At 55.0% G+C, this 13,764-nt stretch overlaps 1 protein-coding gene and 1 long non-coding RNA gene across 8 annotated transcripts in view, besides 3 other annotated features; one reads left to right on the forward strand and one right to left on the reverse strand.

Annotated features, from left to right (window-relative positions):
* The window catches only part of TSHZ3 (teashirt zinc finger homeobox 3), a 201,002-nt gene extending 199,071 nt beyond the window's left edge, over positions 1–1,931 (reverse strand). For 4 of the 5 annotated variants that reach the window (NR_138035.2, NR_138036.2, NR_138034.2 and 1 more), the window contains exon 1: positions 234–490. Coding sequence is in view for 2 of the 5 variants with exons in the window: in NM_020856.4 (NP_065907.2) it covers positions 234–273 (40 nt within the window). In the remaining 3 variants the exon portion in view is untranslated. Of the gene's footprint in view, positions 1–233; positions 905–1,773 lie in introns of those variants that run through there. The other variant, XM_047439132.1, reaches the window with a different exon arrangement.
* Positions 1–13,764, forward strand: part of TSHZ3-AS1 (TSHZ3 antisense RNA 1) — a 101,016-nt gene that overhangs the window by 27,116 nt on the left and 60,136 nt on the right. For 2 of the 3 annotated variants that reach the window (XR_001753896.2, XR_001753900.2), the window contains exon 1: positions 2,472–2,680. The exons of the other annotated variant lie outside the window; for it this stretch is intronic. This is a non-coding gene — a long non-coding RNA (TSHZ3 antisense RNA 1). Of the gene's footprint in view, positions 1–2,471; positions 2,681–13,764 lie in introns of those variants that run through there. 3 annotated transcript variants of the gene reach the window in all.
* Positions 3,697–4,198: an enhancer, noted in NCBI's record as "H3K4me1 hESC enhancer chr19:31843549-31844050 (GRCh37/hg19 assembly coordinates)". NCBI's record gives its function as "activates a minimal SCP1, AML or CMV promoter by ChIP-STARR-seq in naive H9 embryonic stem cells {active_cell/tissue: H9 hESC(naive)}" and the evidence as "EXISTENCE:reporter gene assay evidence [ECO:0000049][PMID:30033119]".
* Positions 4,199–4,698: an enhancer, noted in NCBI's record as "H3K4me1 hESC enhancer chr19:31844051-31844550 (GRCh37/hg19 assembly coordinates)". NCBI's record gives its function as "activates a minimal SCP1, AML or CMV promoter by ChIP-STARR-seq in naive H9 embryonic stem cells {active_cell/tissue: H9 hESC(naive)}" and the evidence as "EXISTENCE:reporter gene assay evidence [ECO:0000049][PMID:30033119]".
* Positions 5,641–6,284: an enhancer, noted in NCBI's record as "H3K4me1 hESC enhancer chr19:31845493-31846136 (GRCh37/hg19 assembly coordinates)". NCBI's record gives its function as "activates a minimal SCP1, AML or CMV promoter by ChIP-STARR-seq in naive and primed H9 embryonic stem cells {active_cell/tissue: H9 hESC(naive and primed)}" and the evidence as "EXISTENCE:reporter gene assay evidence [ECO:0000049][PMID:30033119]".

Raw genomic sequence — 13,764 nt, forward strand, 5'->3', positions numbered from 1 at the left:
CGCGAGCGGCTCCCCAAATGGGTGCGAGAGGGAAGAGGGCAGAGCGCGGCGGGGCGTCCGGGGGGCGCCCGGTACCCGAGGCGGGCGCACGCACCCAAACAGGAGAGCGGCGCCCGGAGTTACTCAGTGCGGGCAGAAGAGCGGGGCGAGGAGCGGGGTCGCGCCCGCTGGAGGCGCGGGGCGAGCGGAGGAAGAGGAGGAGGAGAGCAGAAGGAAGGGGAAGCGGCTCGTACCTGCTGCGCGCCGGGGCGCCTGCTGCTTCCTCCTCGGCATGATGCTTCTCCGGCGACTGCCACTGCCGCCGCCGCCGCCGCTGCCGGGCTGAGGACAGGGAGGGAGGGGGCGGCGGGCCCGCGGGGGGGCGAGGCGGGCCTGCTCTCAGCCTCCCCCCCGGAGAGCGGCCGCCCGCAGGATGCTGCTGCGCCCAGGCTCTCCGCGTCCCCCCCGCGCCGCGCTCCGCCGCGAACCCCGAACGTGCGGAGGGAAGAAGGAGGGCGGGCGAGGGAGGCTCGGGGAGGGAGGAGCACGGGGGGGAGGAGGAGGCAGAGGAGGAGGAGGTGGAGGAGGAGGAGGAGGACCGCGCTGCCGGCGGAATGGGAAGTTTGACAAATCGCTCCAGAGGCCAGAGGAGGAGGGGGCGGGGAGGAGCGGCGGCCCTGCCCCCCCCCGCCCCGTCCCCAGACGAGGTGCGCGGGGTTCGGGGCTGGGGGGCGGGGAGAGGGCGGGCAGAGCGGTGGGAGGAGGAGCGCGGGAGCGGCCCGGACCGGTACTGCCCCGGCCCCCGCCCCTAGGCCGGGGGTCACGGCATCCGGGGGGACGCGCAGCCGCCGCCGCGGCCCGGGGCTCGGCGGTCCAGTCTTCTGCCCGTGGCGCGGCTGGAGCGGCGGCGTCGGCAACAGGCAAGCTTAAAGGAAAAGGAGATGATCGTGTCAATCGCCCGCCCGCGGGGGCGCCGCGCCCCCGCCCCCGGCCCCAGGCCCGCGTGGGACCCCCGCCCCGCCAGCGAAAGGGGTGCCGCCCCTCCGCCTCCGCCCCGTGCGCACACGCGGGGGCGCGGCGCCAGCCCCGCCGAGCCCGTCCCGGGGCGCTCGTTACCCCCCACCCCTATTCCCACCCAGCGTTCGTCCCCAGCCACCCCCCAGCTGCCCCACCCGGCTCGCACTCCTCTCCACCCGCCGACTCCGGAGCCCCCAGCGTGGTCCCCGGGCCGGGGCTGGCGTCCCCCGGGGAAGCCAGAGCCCACGGGCAGGCCCCCTCCAGGGAGGAGGCGGGCGCGGGCCGGGGCGGGTGGGGGCAGCCCTCAGACCCCGCGCCACCCAGCTCCTCCCCCAGGACCCGCCGTAGCCACTTCCCCCAATTTTTTTTCCCCGGACAAACTTTCCTGGGCCCGTCCCGGGGGTCGGTGTGGGAGGGGGTTCCTTCAAGTTTCCTCTCCTGACTTTGGGATGATCAGGGTCCCTCCACCCCGCCCCTCGCCCCCGGGAGCCGGGCCGCGCCCCCCATCCACGGCGCGGGCCGATCCTAGGGCGGGACGGGGGCGGGAGAAGGAAACCGGGCTCCCCTGCCCATCCCCCGCCAGGGGCTCCCCCCGAGAGCCTAGGGGGCCGCCGCGCCGTGTCCCGCGCCCGGCCTGCCGGGGCTGCTGGACTAGAGGGATTGATTATTGATTGGTGATCGGGGTCGCTGAGGCTCCGGGCCGGCCCGGCCGACTGGCCGCGGCAAGAAGGAGCTGGCTGGGCGGCGTGGGCGGCGGGGCGACGCGGGCTCACTTACGGGCGGCGGTGAGGGCGCGGGTGGGCCGGAGCTCATGCGGGCGACCCCCGGGCGGCGGCGGCTGAGCGGGAGCCGGAGCCCGAGCGGCGCGGGCGGCGGCGCATCGATGCGCTGCGGGCTCGATTGCGTCTCCCTGGGCCAGCTCTCAGGCCGGGAATGGGGCGGCCGCGCCGGGGCCGGCTCCGGGCGCTGCCGGGCGGCGGCTGCTGGAGCGCGGGGGCGGCCTCCGGGCCCACTATCCCCGAGGCGGCCCTGCGCCCGGGCGCGCCGGCTGGGGCTCTGGCGCTCTCGCAGGCCCCGAGGCCGACAGTCCCGGCGAGGGCGGGCGCCCCGCGCTCCAGCACCGGCTGCCTGAGCGCTCCTGGAGCAGCAAACCCCAGACTTCTTCCTCCTTCTCTCCTTCCTTCCTTCCCCCTCCCCTTATCTTTTTCTTTTTTTAGTCTCTTTCTCCCTCTTTTTCTGCCCTGTGTCCTTTTTATTTTTTCTCTACGACTGTTTTTGCAAGTTTGTTTCAAAAGTTCACAGCATGCTTTCTTTTCTTTTAGACCGGGAGACAGTGATCTCACCCACACGGTAAGATCAAAAGTCTCCGCTCGCCCAGCCTGCGGGCTTGGGCTGGGTCCAGACGTCTCCCAGGATGCAGATGCGCCGCCGCTGGCCTCCCCGGCTATAAAGCCGCCTCCAGCGCCTTTCCGCGCGCAGGAGCGCTCGGAGTTGTGGGGTACGGACCCCAGGCGGGGCAGGGAGTCCGAGGCGGGCTGCGGCGGGGCTCTCGGGCTGGCGGACTCGGGGGCTGAGGCGCCGTGCGCGTTGGGTGCCCGCGGCCGCAGAGGCCAGAACCGCTACTCCTCCAGGCCGGGGAGACGCGGCCGTGGAGCGTGAAACGCTTCTTGCAAGCGAGGAAACGGTGAGTTGGCCGACACCGCCGGCGGCCTCACCATTCTGGTGGCCGCGCTGAGCTCCTGTCGCCTGGAGGCGGGTTGCGCCGCACGGGGTCAGCTCCCGCCGGCTCCCAGCTCACCTTCGAAGCTCCCACTTAGGCGCGCCCGGTGCGGCGTGTGCACAGCGCGGGGCGCCGCACACGGAAGCGTGTAGTTCTCCCTGGTCGCGCTTTTCTCCTCCTTTCCATCCCCTCGCTGTTCTTGCAAACCTCTGTTCCTTCGGCCCCCTCCCACTGCGGGCCGCGGCCTGAACTCGGGTCTCCGCGTAGCCGGCCGCCGCCGCTGGGTCGCTGCCTGGCCCTCCCCCGCTCAGGCGCCGAGCGCTGTGCGATCCGCCCTAACATCTGTCCGTCCAACCATTGGCGCATCCATCAGTGTCAATGGGCTGCACATTGCAGCGACAGCCCGCCACGCACAACACGGGCTATGCGGAGTGCACGCAGCAACCATACTGCCATGTCGGGACACGCAAAAAGGCCCCCGGCCTGGCTTGGCACAGCCTGAAGGCCTAATCTGTGTTCTTTCAGCCACATGTACCCACCCCCACTTAATATCTGGACCCCCAAACATGAATAGTTTTGCAGACCATTGTAGGGATGGAATTGAAGGAAGAGGGGCAGTGTCGCCCGAGTCATTATTTTCCACCAGGTTTTCTCTGCCCTTGTGTGGGCTGGGTGTGGCTAGGAGAGAAGGAAGGGAGACTTCCCAAATCCGCACCAAGCACACTGCAGAACCGGAAGCTACCTGGATGCAAGGGCTTAAACCCCCTTCACCTGGGCCTAGGATGTGTTGTCGAGGTCGCTGGCCAGGTTTTAGCCAGGAGGTCTCGCGCTAAAACTTTTTGGCCCCGCCTGGCTGCTGTGTGTGACATGGCCTGATGGAGAGGAGCTGGAGAGCGGAGGAAAACGTGGATCCCAGTGAGAACTAAGGGCCAGATTTAGGGAGAAATAGTGTCTGGATGGCAGTAAGTCTGTAATTCACATTTTGTTTACAAAGGGAGAAAGGGCAGGGCTGTAGGTTTGAGAAGCCAGAGGTTTGCGCGGAGTTCCGTGTGCCCATTCCCCGAGAGTGCCGCTCTTGGCTGTAGTTGTTTGTTCTACCTGATTTTGCCTCTTGCCTTCAACTCCCCCATAACCCCTCCCCAAATGTCCAGAGGGCAAACATATGCGCATACCTCCCTGATCAATCCAGCCAGACCAAAGGGCCTTCCCTGTCCTCCCCCTAAGAACTTAATGGGAAGAGTGTACGGGGGACCTACTCTTGGGACATCTGCAGGGCGGCTGTACCAGGCGTTTTACCTGACTTTATTCTTACCGCAAAGATTTCCGTCTCGGTACCTGGTGCCCCCTCAGAGTCCACTACACAAACGGGTAAAATCCCGCGCGGCTATTCATTTCGCCATTCGCGAGTAAGAAGGGGAAAAGGAGCCGCTTCTAGGAGAGCACTGAGGTATGCTCGGTTCGGTTCCCGAGGAGGCCAGAAGCGGCCGCGGCGGCGCGGGCTGGAGCTCCCTCCTGCAGGGAGACACCGCGCTCTAGGGTGCGGGCTTCGCCGCCCACATCCAGTGGTCGAACTGTTTTCACGCTAGACTAGAGGGCGGAAAAGTCTGCGCCCGCGGAGAAACTAGAATTCTGTAGAATGTACACTGTGTAGAAATCTTTTCACCCCACTCTTCAGAGTTGCAGATTATCTTTGAAAAACAACAGGCTCTGGCCCTGCCAGCCCTAGTAACTTCTACCCGCCTGAGTCACTCTGAAAAGTAAGCCCCTAGGCCAGTGAGATGTCCCCACCTTTGGGAGGTGCCGCCTTTCCGGGAACATTAAAAAAAAAACCCTAAAAATAGAAGGAGGAAAAATGAGCAAAGGCGGTGGGACGACTCACCGAAACACCGAGGTGCAAATGTCCATTGGAGAAACTGGCAGTCGCATGGCAGCCAGCTGGCTCACCCAATAGCTGGGTGGTAACCTTGTGATCCCCAAACATCCCCCAGGGCCATGAAGGCAGTGCTGACCCCCACGATTGCACCTCAGGCCCGGTGGAATCCCGCTCCTCCTCCATAGTGGTGCTATGTAATCAGTAGAAAATCAGTAGAAAAGCTCCCAAATGAAGCTGCTTCAGGTCAGGGGTTAGAAATCTGCCTCAGACTTTTTGAACTCAAGGAAATCGGGACATCTGTCCCCAGAGCTACCTGTGCCCCACCCCAGGATCATTCATGACCTTAGCTACCGGGAGCTCTGCCCGGATAAGTTTTTAAAAGAGAGAGAGAAAGAAAAAAGTCACATGCAGGCAAGGCTAGGAACAGGTGTGTGCTGTGGGGACGGGCACTTGGCTCGCAACACACCACACAAAGTCACGAAGTCTGTGCCAGAAAGGAGTAGCCAAACCACCGCCGGGAGGCAGCCGAGGTTGTGTTTAAGGTGGCGATTGAGGGCAGTAGGTGACAACTCGACCCAAAGAAGGCCAAGTCTTGTCCTTATCTGGGGTGGCCACTGAGGGAAAAGACTTAAGGGAAAGAAGTTGTCTTCAAAGCTACCATTACAAGATGAGGAGCTAGAGTGGGCTCAGGTCCCAGGCACCCAGGGCTTAAGCCTTGATGTTGGAGAGGTTCTCGGAGGGAGGCTTGGGCCACCTGGAGGGACTGGGCACTCTGAGTAGTACCCTCTGGGAGGCTGTACCCCCTTTCAAAGTGTGAGGGCATTTGCCCAAGGTGTAGGCTTTTAGGGAGCCCAGGGCTGGGCAGCACCAGGGGAGAGAGGCACCAGGTGGGTGCCCTCCTGCCTGCACTCACCTGGAATGCTGGCATATGGGTTTTTCGCCTTCCTCACGCCTCCCCACACCACATTCTGGGCTAGGCAGTGTCGAGGAGGTGCCTTGGGTTCAGGGAAGCTTGCCACCTGCACACCTGAACCAGGAATTGGGCCCCGGAATCTCAGCCCCTGCCCAAGCAGGAAGGATAGGGACCCTGGCCCTCGCCAGGTGGTAAATTGTTTGCTAAAAGTGCATTTACACGGCGGCGAAGTTTGTTTCTCTTTTACCGGTAGCTTTGTTTTAACGAACCAGATGTTTTGTCTGTAAATTCTCCCAAGAACTTTTCCAGTTTTGACGTGAAATAAACCTTCGAAAATCAGAAGAGTATATTAATACCACTTCTGTGGGGCCTCAGGAGAGCTGAGTCAGGTGTGCCTGGATGGGAGCTGGGGGTGGGAGTACAATCTTTGGAGAGAAGTAGGGGGCTTCTCTTGGCCCAAGGTCAAGAATTGGTTTGGGGGAGGTGAAGTGCCTCCCCGACTCCCAAAACAGGCGCACACACACGCATTGTCACACCAGAGTACGCACTCCCAGCCCTCCTCCAACCAGGCATAGCTTGCTACTTCGTAAATTTCTTGTGGCTTGGGGCACAGAGATGTAGCTCAACTTTGCAGACTGTGTCCACTGCATGCCGCTGCCGTTTTCCACGAGGACCGCCTGACTGAAAGGCAAAGGGGCCTTCGATCTTCTTCCCGGGGCAGCTTTGATGCCTGAGTGTGCGGGGCCGGGGCCGGGGCCAGGGCAGAGCAGGGTGGAAGCTGGTGCCCCTGTCTGGCCCACCCTTAACTCCTGGGCACCACTCGATTCGGGAGAACTTGGGGTGGAAGCCGACCTGGTCTAGGAAGCCACAGCCTGCAGGTCCCCCTCTCCAATGCCTCATTTTTTCCGATTTAGGATTTCCAGGCAGTTATAAACACCTTAAAAAAAAAGACCCACTTAACAATACACCTAAAAGAGGGAGGGAAGGAAGGAAGGAGTACGGTTATCACAGGCGTGTGGGGAGAGGGAAACCAGGTCTGCCTAGAAACCCACCTTCTGGTCCTGTGAGTCATAGCGGCCACTTTCTCGGGTTTCCCAAGACAGGAGATGGCGATTTTCTGCTCCCTCCCCTCTCCCCAAGCTTTCCAGTGCTCTGAGTCTCACATCTTCAGATACCTCTTTCTTCCTTCATTCTCTTTCGTTCAATCATCTACGGAACTTTCAAAAACTTTTTTTTTAGGAGAGCGAAGATTAAATAAAGAAAATAAAACGTCTTTGTATTTCAGTCTAAGGAGGACAGATGCACATTAAACTCAGTTTGGAGCGCTTAACTCCAGGCGAAATGCCCTTTTATCAAATCCCACGCGTCGACTTGGGTTGCGCTGGGAATTTCACGAATTCCTCGCTGCAGCGTGGCGTGGTTTACCCCCACCCCCACCGCCACCCCACTTTGGGTGAAATGGATTTTTGGAAACCATTTAAGCAGAGCTAAAAATAAGGGTGGGGGGATCCCTACACTAGAGATAGCTGCAGCCACCTAGGGGCTCACCCCTGGTCGGGAGCGAGCAGCTATTTGCTAGTTGTAGCTCAGGGGTGCCCAACTCTTCCCGTGTGGTTGCGCCAGCTGCCCCGCACTGCAGGTATCTGAATCATTACGTGGGCAACCTGATGCGGCTCTGAACCCCAGCTCTTTGAATGCTGGAATCCTGAAGGAGGAGGATTCCACCAGGTCTTAGCCGACCAGATAGCCCAGCTTTCTGAGGCTGGTGACCTCATTAACTGGCCAGGGAATTTGCAAGACCAGGAATAATCACGTTTCCCAGTTCTTCTTTCCTACATTGCTTTTCTCCTCTGTCTTCAACGTTAGGGTTTTGTGTTTGTCCCTAAATTTACAATTTACAAACGGGGAAGACGGAGCCTAAGTTTCTGCAGGGCAGGTACAAAAGAGAGGGACAACACTCTGGGGGCCTCATTCTTTCACGTTTTTGTTTCTTGAAATTTGATGGATATCACCTTAGTTCGGCAATAGGAGGGCCAGGGTGACTGGGGACATGGTGGCCCGAAGGGTTAGATAATATAGCATGCAGGTAGTCTCTGATCTCCAGGGCTTTGATAACACCAAGATTTTCCTCCTTTGCAGAGCAGTCCTAAATTCTGCCTTCTCCCTTTTCTGCCGCCTCTTCTCTTTTCCCCATTTCTTTCTTCGTTTCTTTTTCTGTTTTCTTTTTGTGTGCCTCTCTTCCAACAGTCCCTCCTCCACCTTTATAAGACTTCTCAAAGGTTATTTATTTAAGGTCTACCAAGTGCTAGCCCCAAACAGGTCCAGTCCTTCTACCTGTGGCAAGACGGAGGCTGTTACCGCGTGCAAATAGTGAGGGAACAAAGTAGTTTGGAGTTTTTTGCAGCTTTTTTAGGTGAGGGGAAGGGAGGGAGGTCAGAAATAGGTTGACACTTGGTTTGAAATAAAAGAGCATGTTAAGAAGTTTCGAAGCTGCCAATAAAACCCTTTAAGTGGCTTGTGATTCAGTGCCTGGAGTTGCGGGGATGGCATTGGTAAATGACTCTAATGCCCAAAGAAAAATATTACAAATGCCGCTGTCTCGGCCACCAATCGGGCGCCGCTTTCCTGCGCGGGCGATGGCTCCTCTCTGGCGCGGAGGGCACCCACATTTGCATGATAAATTGACCAGACTGGCGGCAGCCAATGAAATATTCAAATTAGGCTGGGTGGCGGTAGTAGGGGTGGAGTCCCTGGGGCTGCCCCTTGGCGCGGCGGCGGGAGCGGGCGCTACCACCTCTCCGTCAGCGCCCTCTGGAGGCGGGACAGCGCGGGCGGCCGCTCTGGCCCAAAAGACGAGATGGGGGGTTGGGGGTTTGGGATGCAAGGGGGTTTGGGAGGGGTGATGGTGGGGTCTGGGTGGTGCTTCGCGGCCCCAGGAGGCTTTCCGGCTGGCCTCGTTGACTAGGCGTACAGCAGCGTCTCCGCATGCCTCTTGCCCTTAAAAGTGTTGATGGATTGCAGAAGTGGATGGTGACCCCAAGGAGGGGTTTCAGAAAGGCTCCAGCCTCCTTCGCCCAACCACCTTCTCTAGGTTCCCCTAACAAACCCATCACTTAAGTTAAAAACGTGTATTTGCTCTTGTTGACTTAGCTTTAAGACAAGATTCTTGCCCACCGCAGACCACATGGCCAGCTTTCCCAAAGGCCCTCTGATAATGAAATGGTGGAGCAGATATATCAAACTTTCCATCTTGCCCTGAGCCAACGACCCTGCACCCTCACAGGCCAGGGCACTCTGGAGGGCACCCTGCCTGGAGCCCCAAACCTTGGGTAAGCTGTGGGAGCCTAGGCAGGGGCAGGCAGTGCCTGGAGGCTGGCTTCAGACGGCAGAACTTCTCACCTGGGAAAATGCTTTCTGGAAGAAGCACCCAGGCCTCAAGGCAGCTCCAGTGAGGGGGCAAAAAGGGATATACATAAGGCATAAGGCGCTGGCCATGGTTAGGTAGGTGCTCAGCCAGGAAGATAGGGCAGATTCACATGGGGGAGATTGGCTCGGTGATGAGACCACTTCTGACTCCACCAGAACCAGGCCCAGCTCTTCCTGGAGGTCCTGACTCAACGGGGACTTTTGCATGGGAGCCAAAGAACAGTGGATGTCTCTTGTCCGCTGATCATCTCTTCCCTTCCCCCACCCCATATTCCATCCCATGCCAGATCCCTAGGCTGTGCCTGTTAGAGCTACTGTAGCACCACATGGACTTGCCTTTAAAGCAGAATTTTTAGAAGTGCAGTTGCTTTTCTTTACTCTGCTGTGGGATGCTGAACACCTTGTTCTTTCTCCAGCTCAGCAGGGCTTGGAGTTGGTTCCTAGCTATCTCTGGGAATGCTCGATCCCCATCTCTGTTACCAGCCAAAAGGGTCTGCGGGAGGTGGTCGGCACTCCAGTCAGCAGCCCTCTCAGTACCTCTTCCCCAGACATAGTCAAAGCAAGTCATTCATCTGCAGCCAGTCTCCCCTGCCCATTCACCAAGGAGAACCTGGGGATAGGACCACTCAGAGCCTGGCCCAGGCTGGCTCACTAACTGTGTGTAAATACACACAGCGGAAAGAGTAGGTGCTGAACACACATGTGTGAGAGAGTGAATTTTTACTCTCAATCACCTTATATATATTATCAATAGTTTCAAAGTATGTTGCCCAAAGGATGTTAATTCCTAAGAAGGCTTTTATATCGTTTGGAGTTTTGAGGAGTGTGTTGGCTGAAGAGAAGAGGGTCTGGCCCCAGTCTTGATGGGAATGCATGGGGTAAACAGCTGGTGGCAGAGGTACAAAAGGGGCCTCTCTACTTTCTAAGAGAATCTTCCATCCTGGCTGATTTTAGGACCTGGGGTGGGGTTCCCATCAGGAGGAGGCCTAAGGAAGGAGTAGGACCCTTCCTAGATGGCTGAGTCAACTTATACGACAGGGCAGGGAAACCTATCTTGGAAACCCGGGAGCCCTCCTTCCTCCTCCCCATCCTCAGGCCTCACCTGAGACTTGAAAATGGACCAGAGTCTTCCTCCAACAGTGAAATTCGTTAAAGAGTCACTCCTGTCTAGAATGTGCAGAAATGCAAGCCTCTCTCTTTCTCTCTCTCTCTCTTTCTCCACCTTGAGGATGCTGTATCTAGAGCCCATATAGGGACAAGAAGGTAAGCAGTGAAAGCAGGAAAGAAGTAGAAGGCTGGCTGTCATCCAGCTGTGCATACAGTCCTATCTCAGCTGAACTGTGCACGGTGAATGAGGAAGTAAATGACAGGTGAAGGACCAAGAGAGTGAAGCTAGTCAGTTTATCTGAGGAGATAGGTATCAGTGAGTAACTGTAAGGATCACACCCACAGTGGGTGTGCCCCGCAGATGGATATATGTGCAGCAAGCGGTACCTTGCGGGGGAATGCAAGCTCCAACTGTGGTGCTGAGCCTCTGGCCCATAAGTAACCCAGTGAGCCTGAGCAGGTCACTCCCTCTCTTTGAACCTTGTCTCCATCTCTAAAACAGGACAGCTTTCTCCATCTTAAACACCAAGTAGGAATTCATTGTGGAAACCTTCCATCAAAATTGGAGATGCCTTGGATGGACCCTGTGGTGGCTCATGCCTGTAATCCCAGCACTTTGGGAGGCTGCGGCAGGCAGATCACTTGAGTCCAGGAGTTTGAGACCAGCCTGGGTGACATGACAAAACCCTCTCTCCACAAAAAATACAAAAATTAGCTGGGCATGGTGGCATGCACCTGTAATCTCAGCTACTTGGGAGGCTGAGGCAGGAGGATCGCTTGAGCCTGGGAGGTTGAGGCTGTAGTGAGCCGAGATAGTGCCACTGCACTCCAGTCTGGGCAACAGAGTGAGACCCTGTCTCAAAAAAACAAAAAATAGAGAAATAGAGATGCCCCTTGAACCCATGGGTTTTTGGGACTACATTCTGGAAGCTTTCAGAGTCAGACCAGAGTTTGAAAGAGGCATTGTGTCACTAGCCGTGTGCCCGTGGGCAAGTCACAGTAGAGTCTACTTCCCACGGCACTTGTGAGACTCATCTGGGATTATGTGTGTCCATGCCTTGGCAGAGAGCTTGGTGAAGAATGTTAGTTGTCCAATAAATGGTACCCCATTAAGTTGGTGTGCAGGGTGGCCACAGGGCCAGACCACCCTGAAAATAAAGGCTTATATTTGGGCTGAGCCTGGATGCACCTGAGATTACAAGCAGGTGCTTAGAATGTGGTGAAAAAGAAAGACAGGAGAGAATGGCTGAAGGCAGCATGCAGTCCACCTGACTTTCTGGGAAGATTGGGCATTTGCAGGGCTGATAAGTCAGGTTCTTCCGGGCCTTTCTGTGAGCTCATTAGAGGAAGGGGTCTGGTGACTGATATTTCTATTTTCCCTGTTAGTAGCGACTGGAATTTGCACCATCCAGGTCAGATGGAAAATAGAAGGCGGGAAAATCTGACAGTCTCATTGATTTGCTCTCTTTGCCATCACCACTCTTGAGAGGAAGAAATGTGACTTCAAACTTGCAATTAGGAACCAGCCTGCTAAGGAGTCCTCTCGTGAGCTCCTGTGCTATGCGGAGCACAGGCCCATCTCATCTCATTTCCTAAGGAGGTAGGTTCATTCATGGTTTCAGCAGGAGCAGGCAGTGCAAACGTGTGACACCCGCCCGCAAATAACTGCCAGAAAGGCCGTCCAATGCTTCCTTCACATTTTTGGTCAGATCTCTGAAAAGATGGCCATTCTCCCAATGTTTTAAAAGTATTAACTTCCTTTCAAACATCCTTTAACCTTTAATGTTTTGTAACTTGATGAAAAGGTCATTTTGTGCTGAGGATGCAGTTGTTCCGGAATTGTTCAGCTAACGGGGTGAATTCCAACCAAATCCAGAATTATTTAATGGGATCCAACGCCCCGGCCACACGCACAATAAGTGAATATTTTCCCATATATGTCTGTGTACAGGTACATGTACTTGTGCATATGTATTTACATATTTGTATCTATGCATGCACATATACTCATTGGGACTTGGATTCAATGGACATTTTTAGCCTTCTCACAAAATGACTTATCCTTTGCAGGAAAATAGATATTAAACTTACTCTTTTGAACACATTTTGCTAAATATTTGATGGCAATTATTTATGGTGCACTGTACTTATTCCTGATTTCTTACAGAAGGGGTTGGGTCAATTTCTAATTCAACATTTCATTGCTGTCTCTACAATAAATGCCTCCAGAAGCTTAGGAGAATTGAGAGGTTTTTTTCCTCTCTCTTCTTTCACAGTGTGAGCTTTTTAACTGTCACTGGCTAGAGCAGTCCTTCTTCACTTTTACCTTCCTTAGCTGATGTATTCTTGGAAACAGATGGCTGAGCATGTTAGATTTATATTTAAAATAAGAGTAGAGTTAATAGGCTCAAATAAGAGCAGGAAGGTATTTTCTACAAGGAAACTGCATGAAGTTTATGCCTGGACTCTGGAAGATGTGTTAATACTTTTACTTATTCAAGAGGCATTGGGTTGTGGTCTGCTATGTTTCTTGCTCTGATGACTGAGTTTTTAAGATAAAGGCTCTCCGGGCAAATAAGGAACAGTTGGATAGAGTAGCTCACCTTAAGTCTCTATAGACTCATGTAGAGAACAAATCTGATCTAAACTGTGTAAAAAAATGAGTAAGAGAACTCTATAAGATTAACACTCTTATTAAACTTAAAAGAGAAAATTGGTACTTTTTTTTTTTTTCTTAGACAGAGACTTGCTCTGCTGCTCAGGGTGAAGCACAGTGGCACAATGTCGGCTCACTGCACTCACCTCTGCCTCCTGGGTTCAAGCGTTTCTTCTGCCTCAGCTTCCCGAATAGCTGGGATTGCAGGCATGCACCACCACACCCAGCTAATTTTTGTACTTTTAGTACAGACAGGGTTTCAACAGGTTGGCCAGGATGGTCTCGAACTCCTAACTTCAAGTGATCCACCTGCCTCAGCTTCCCAAAGTTCTGGGATTACAGGGCACCAAAAATTGGCACTTTTAAAAGGAGACAAGTTTTACTTAAAAGCAAAAGCCTTTAACAGGCCTTTGGCTGGATTAAATGATAATGAAGCGAAGCAAAGCTTGTGACCACTCTGTAGAGCCATCCAGATAGTCTCTCTTTGGGGCCAGATCCTCTAGAATGCATGATTTAGGGTCATTCATTGCACATTCCTGGCTTCAGACTGGTTTTCTGAATTTCCCTGCAATCTGATTTTTGTCTTCCTACATTTCTGTGTGTGAGATACATCAAAAGGTAAAAGAATGTGTGAATCATATAGGTACGGTTTAAATAATACCTGCATACACAACACTCAGTCACCTGAAACCCCCCGACACCTCCCAATTCCAGTCCCCTCTCCTGGAGGCCACCTCTATTTTTAATTTTTGTAATGATCACTTCCTTGCCTTACTTTGTAGTTTTAATATTTAGATGTGTATACCTGGTCATGTTCATAAATGAAATCATGTTGTATGAATTATTTTGTGTCTTGTTTCTCTTACTCAGCATTGTTTTTCGGACTTAACCATGTGGATTTGTGTTGCTGGTTCATGGTCAAGGTTCTAGACTATGAAAACATTAGTTTCATGAAAACATTAGGATTTTTTCCCCCCAATTGTTTGGATATCATGAAGAATGCCGCTGCGAACATGTTTGTTCCTATGCCATAACTCACATGGGGAATATCTCCTATTTATATATAGTTAGGG

This window comes from Homo sapiens, chromosome 19 (assembly GCF_000001405.40).
Source record: "Homo sapiens chromosome 19, GRCh38.p14 Primary Assembly".
In the NCBI taxonomy this organism is placed as follows: Eukaryota; Metazoa; Chordata; class Mammalia; order Primates; family Hominidae; genus Homo; species Homo sapiens.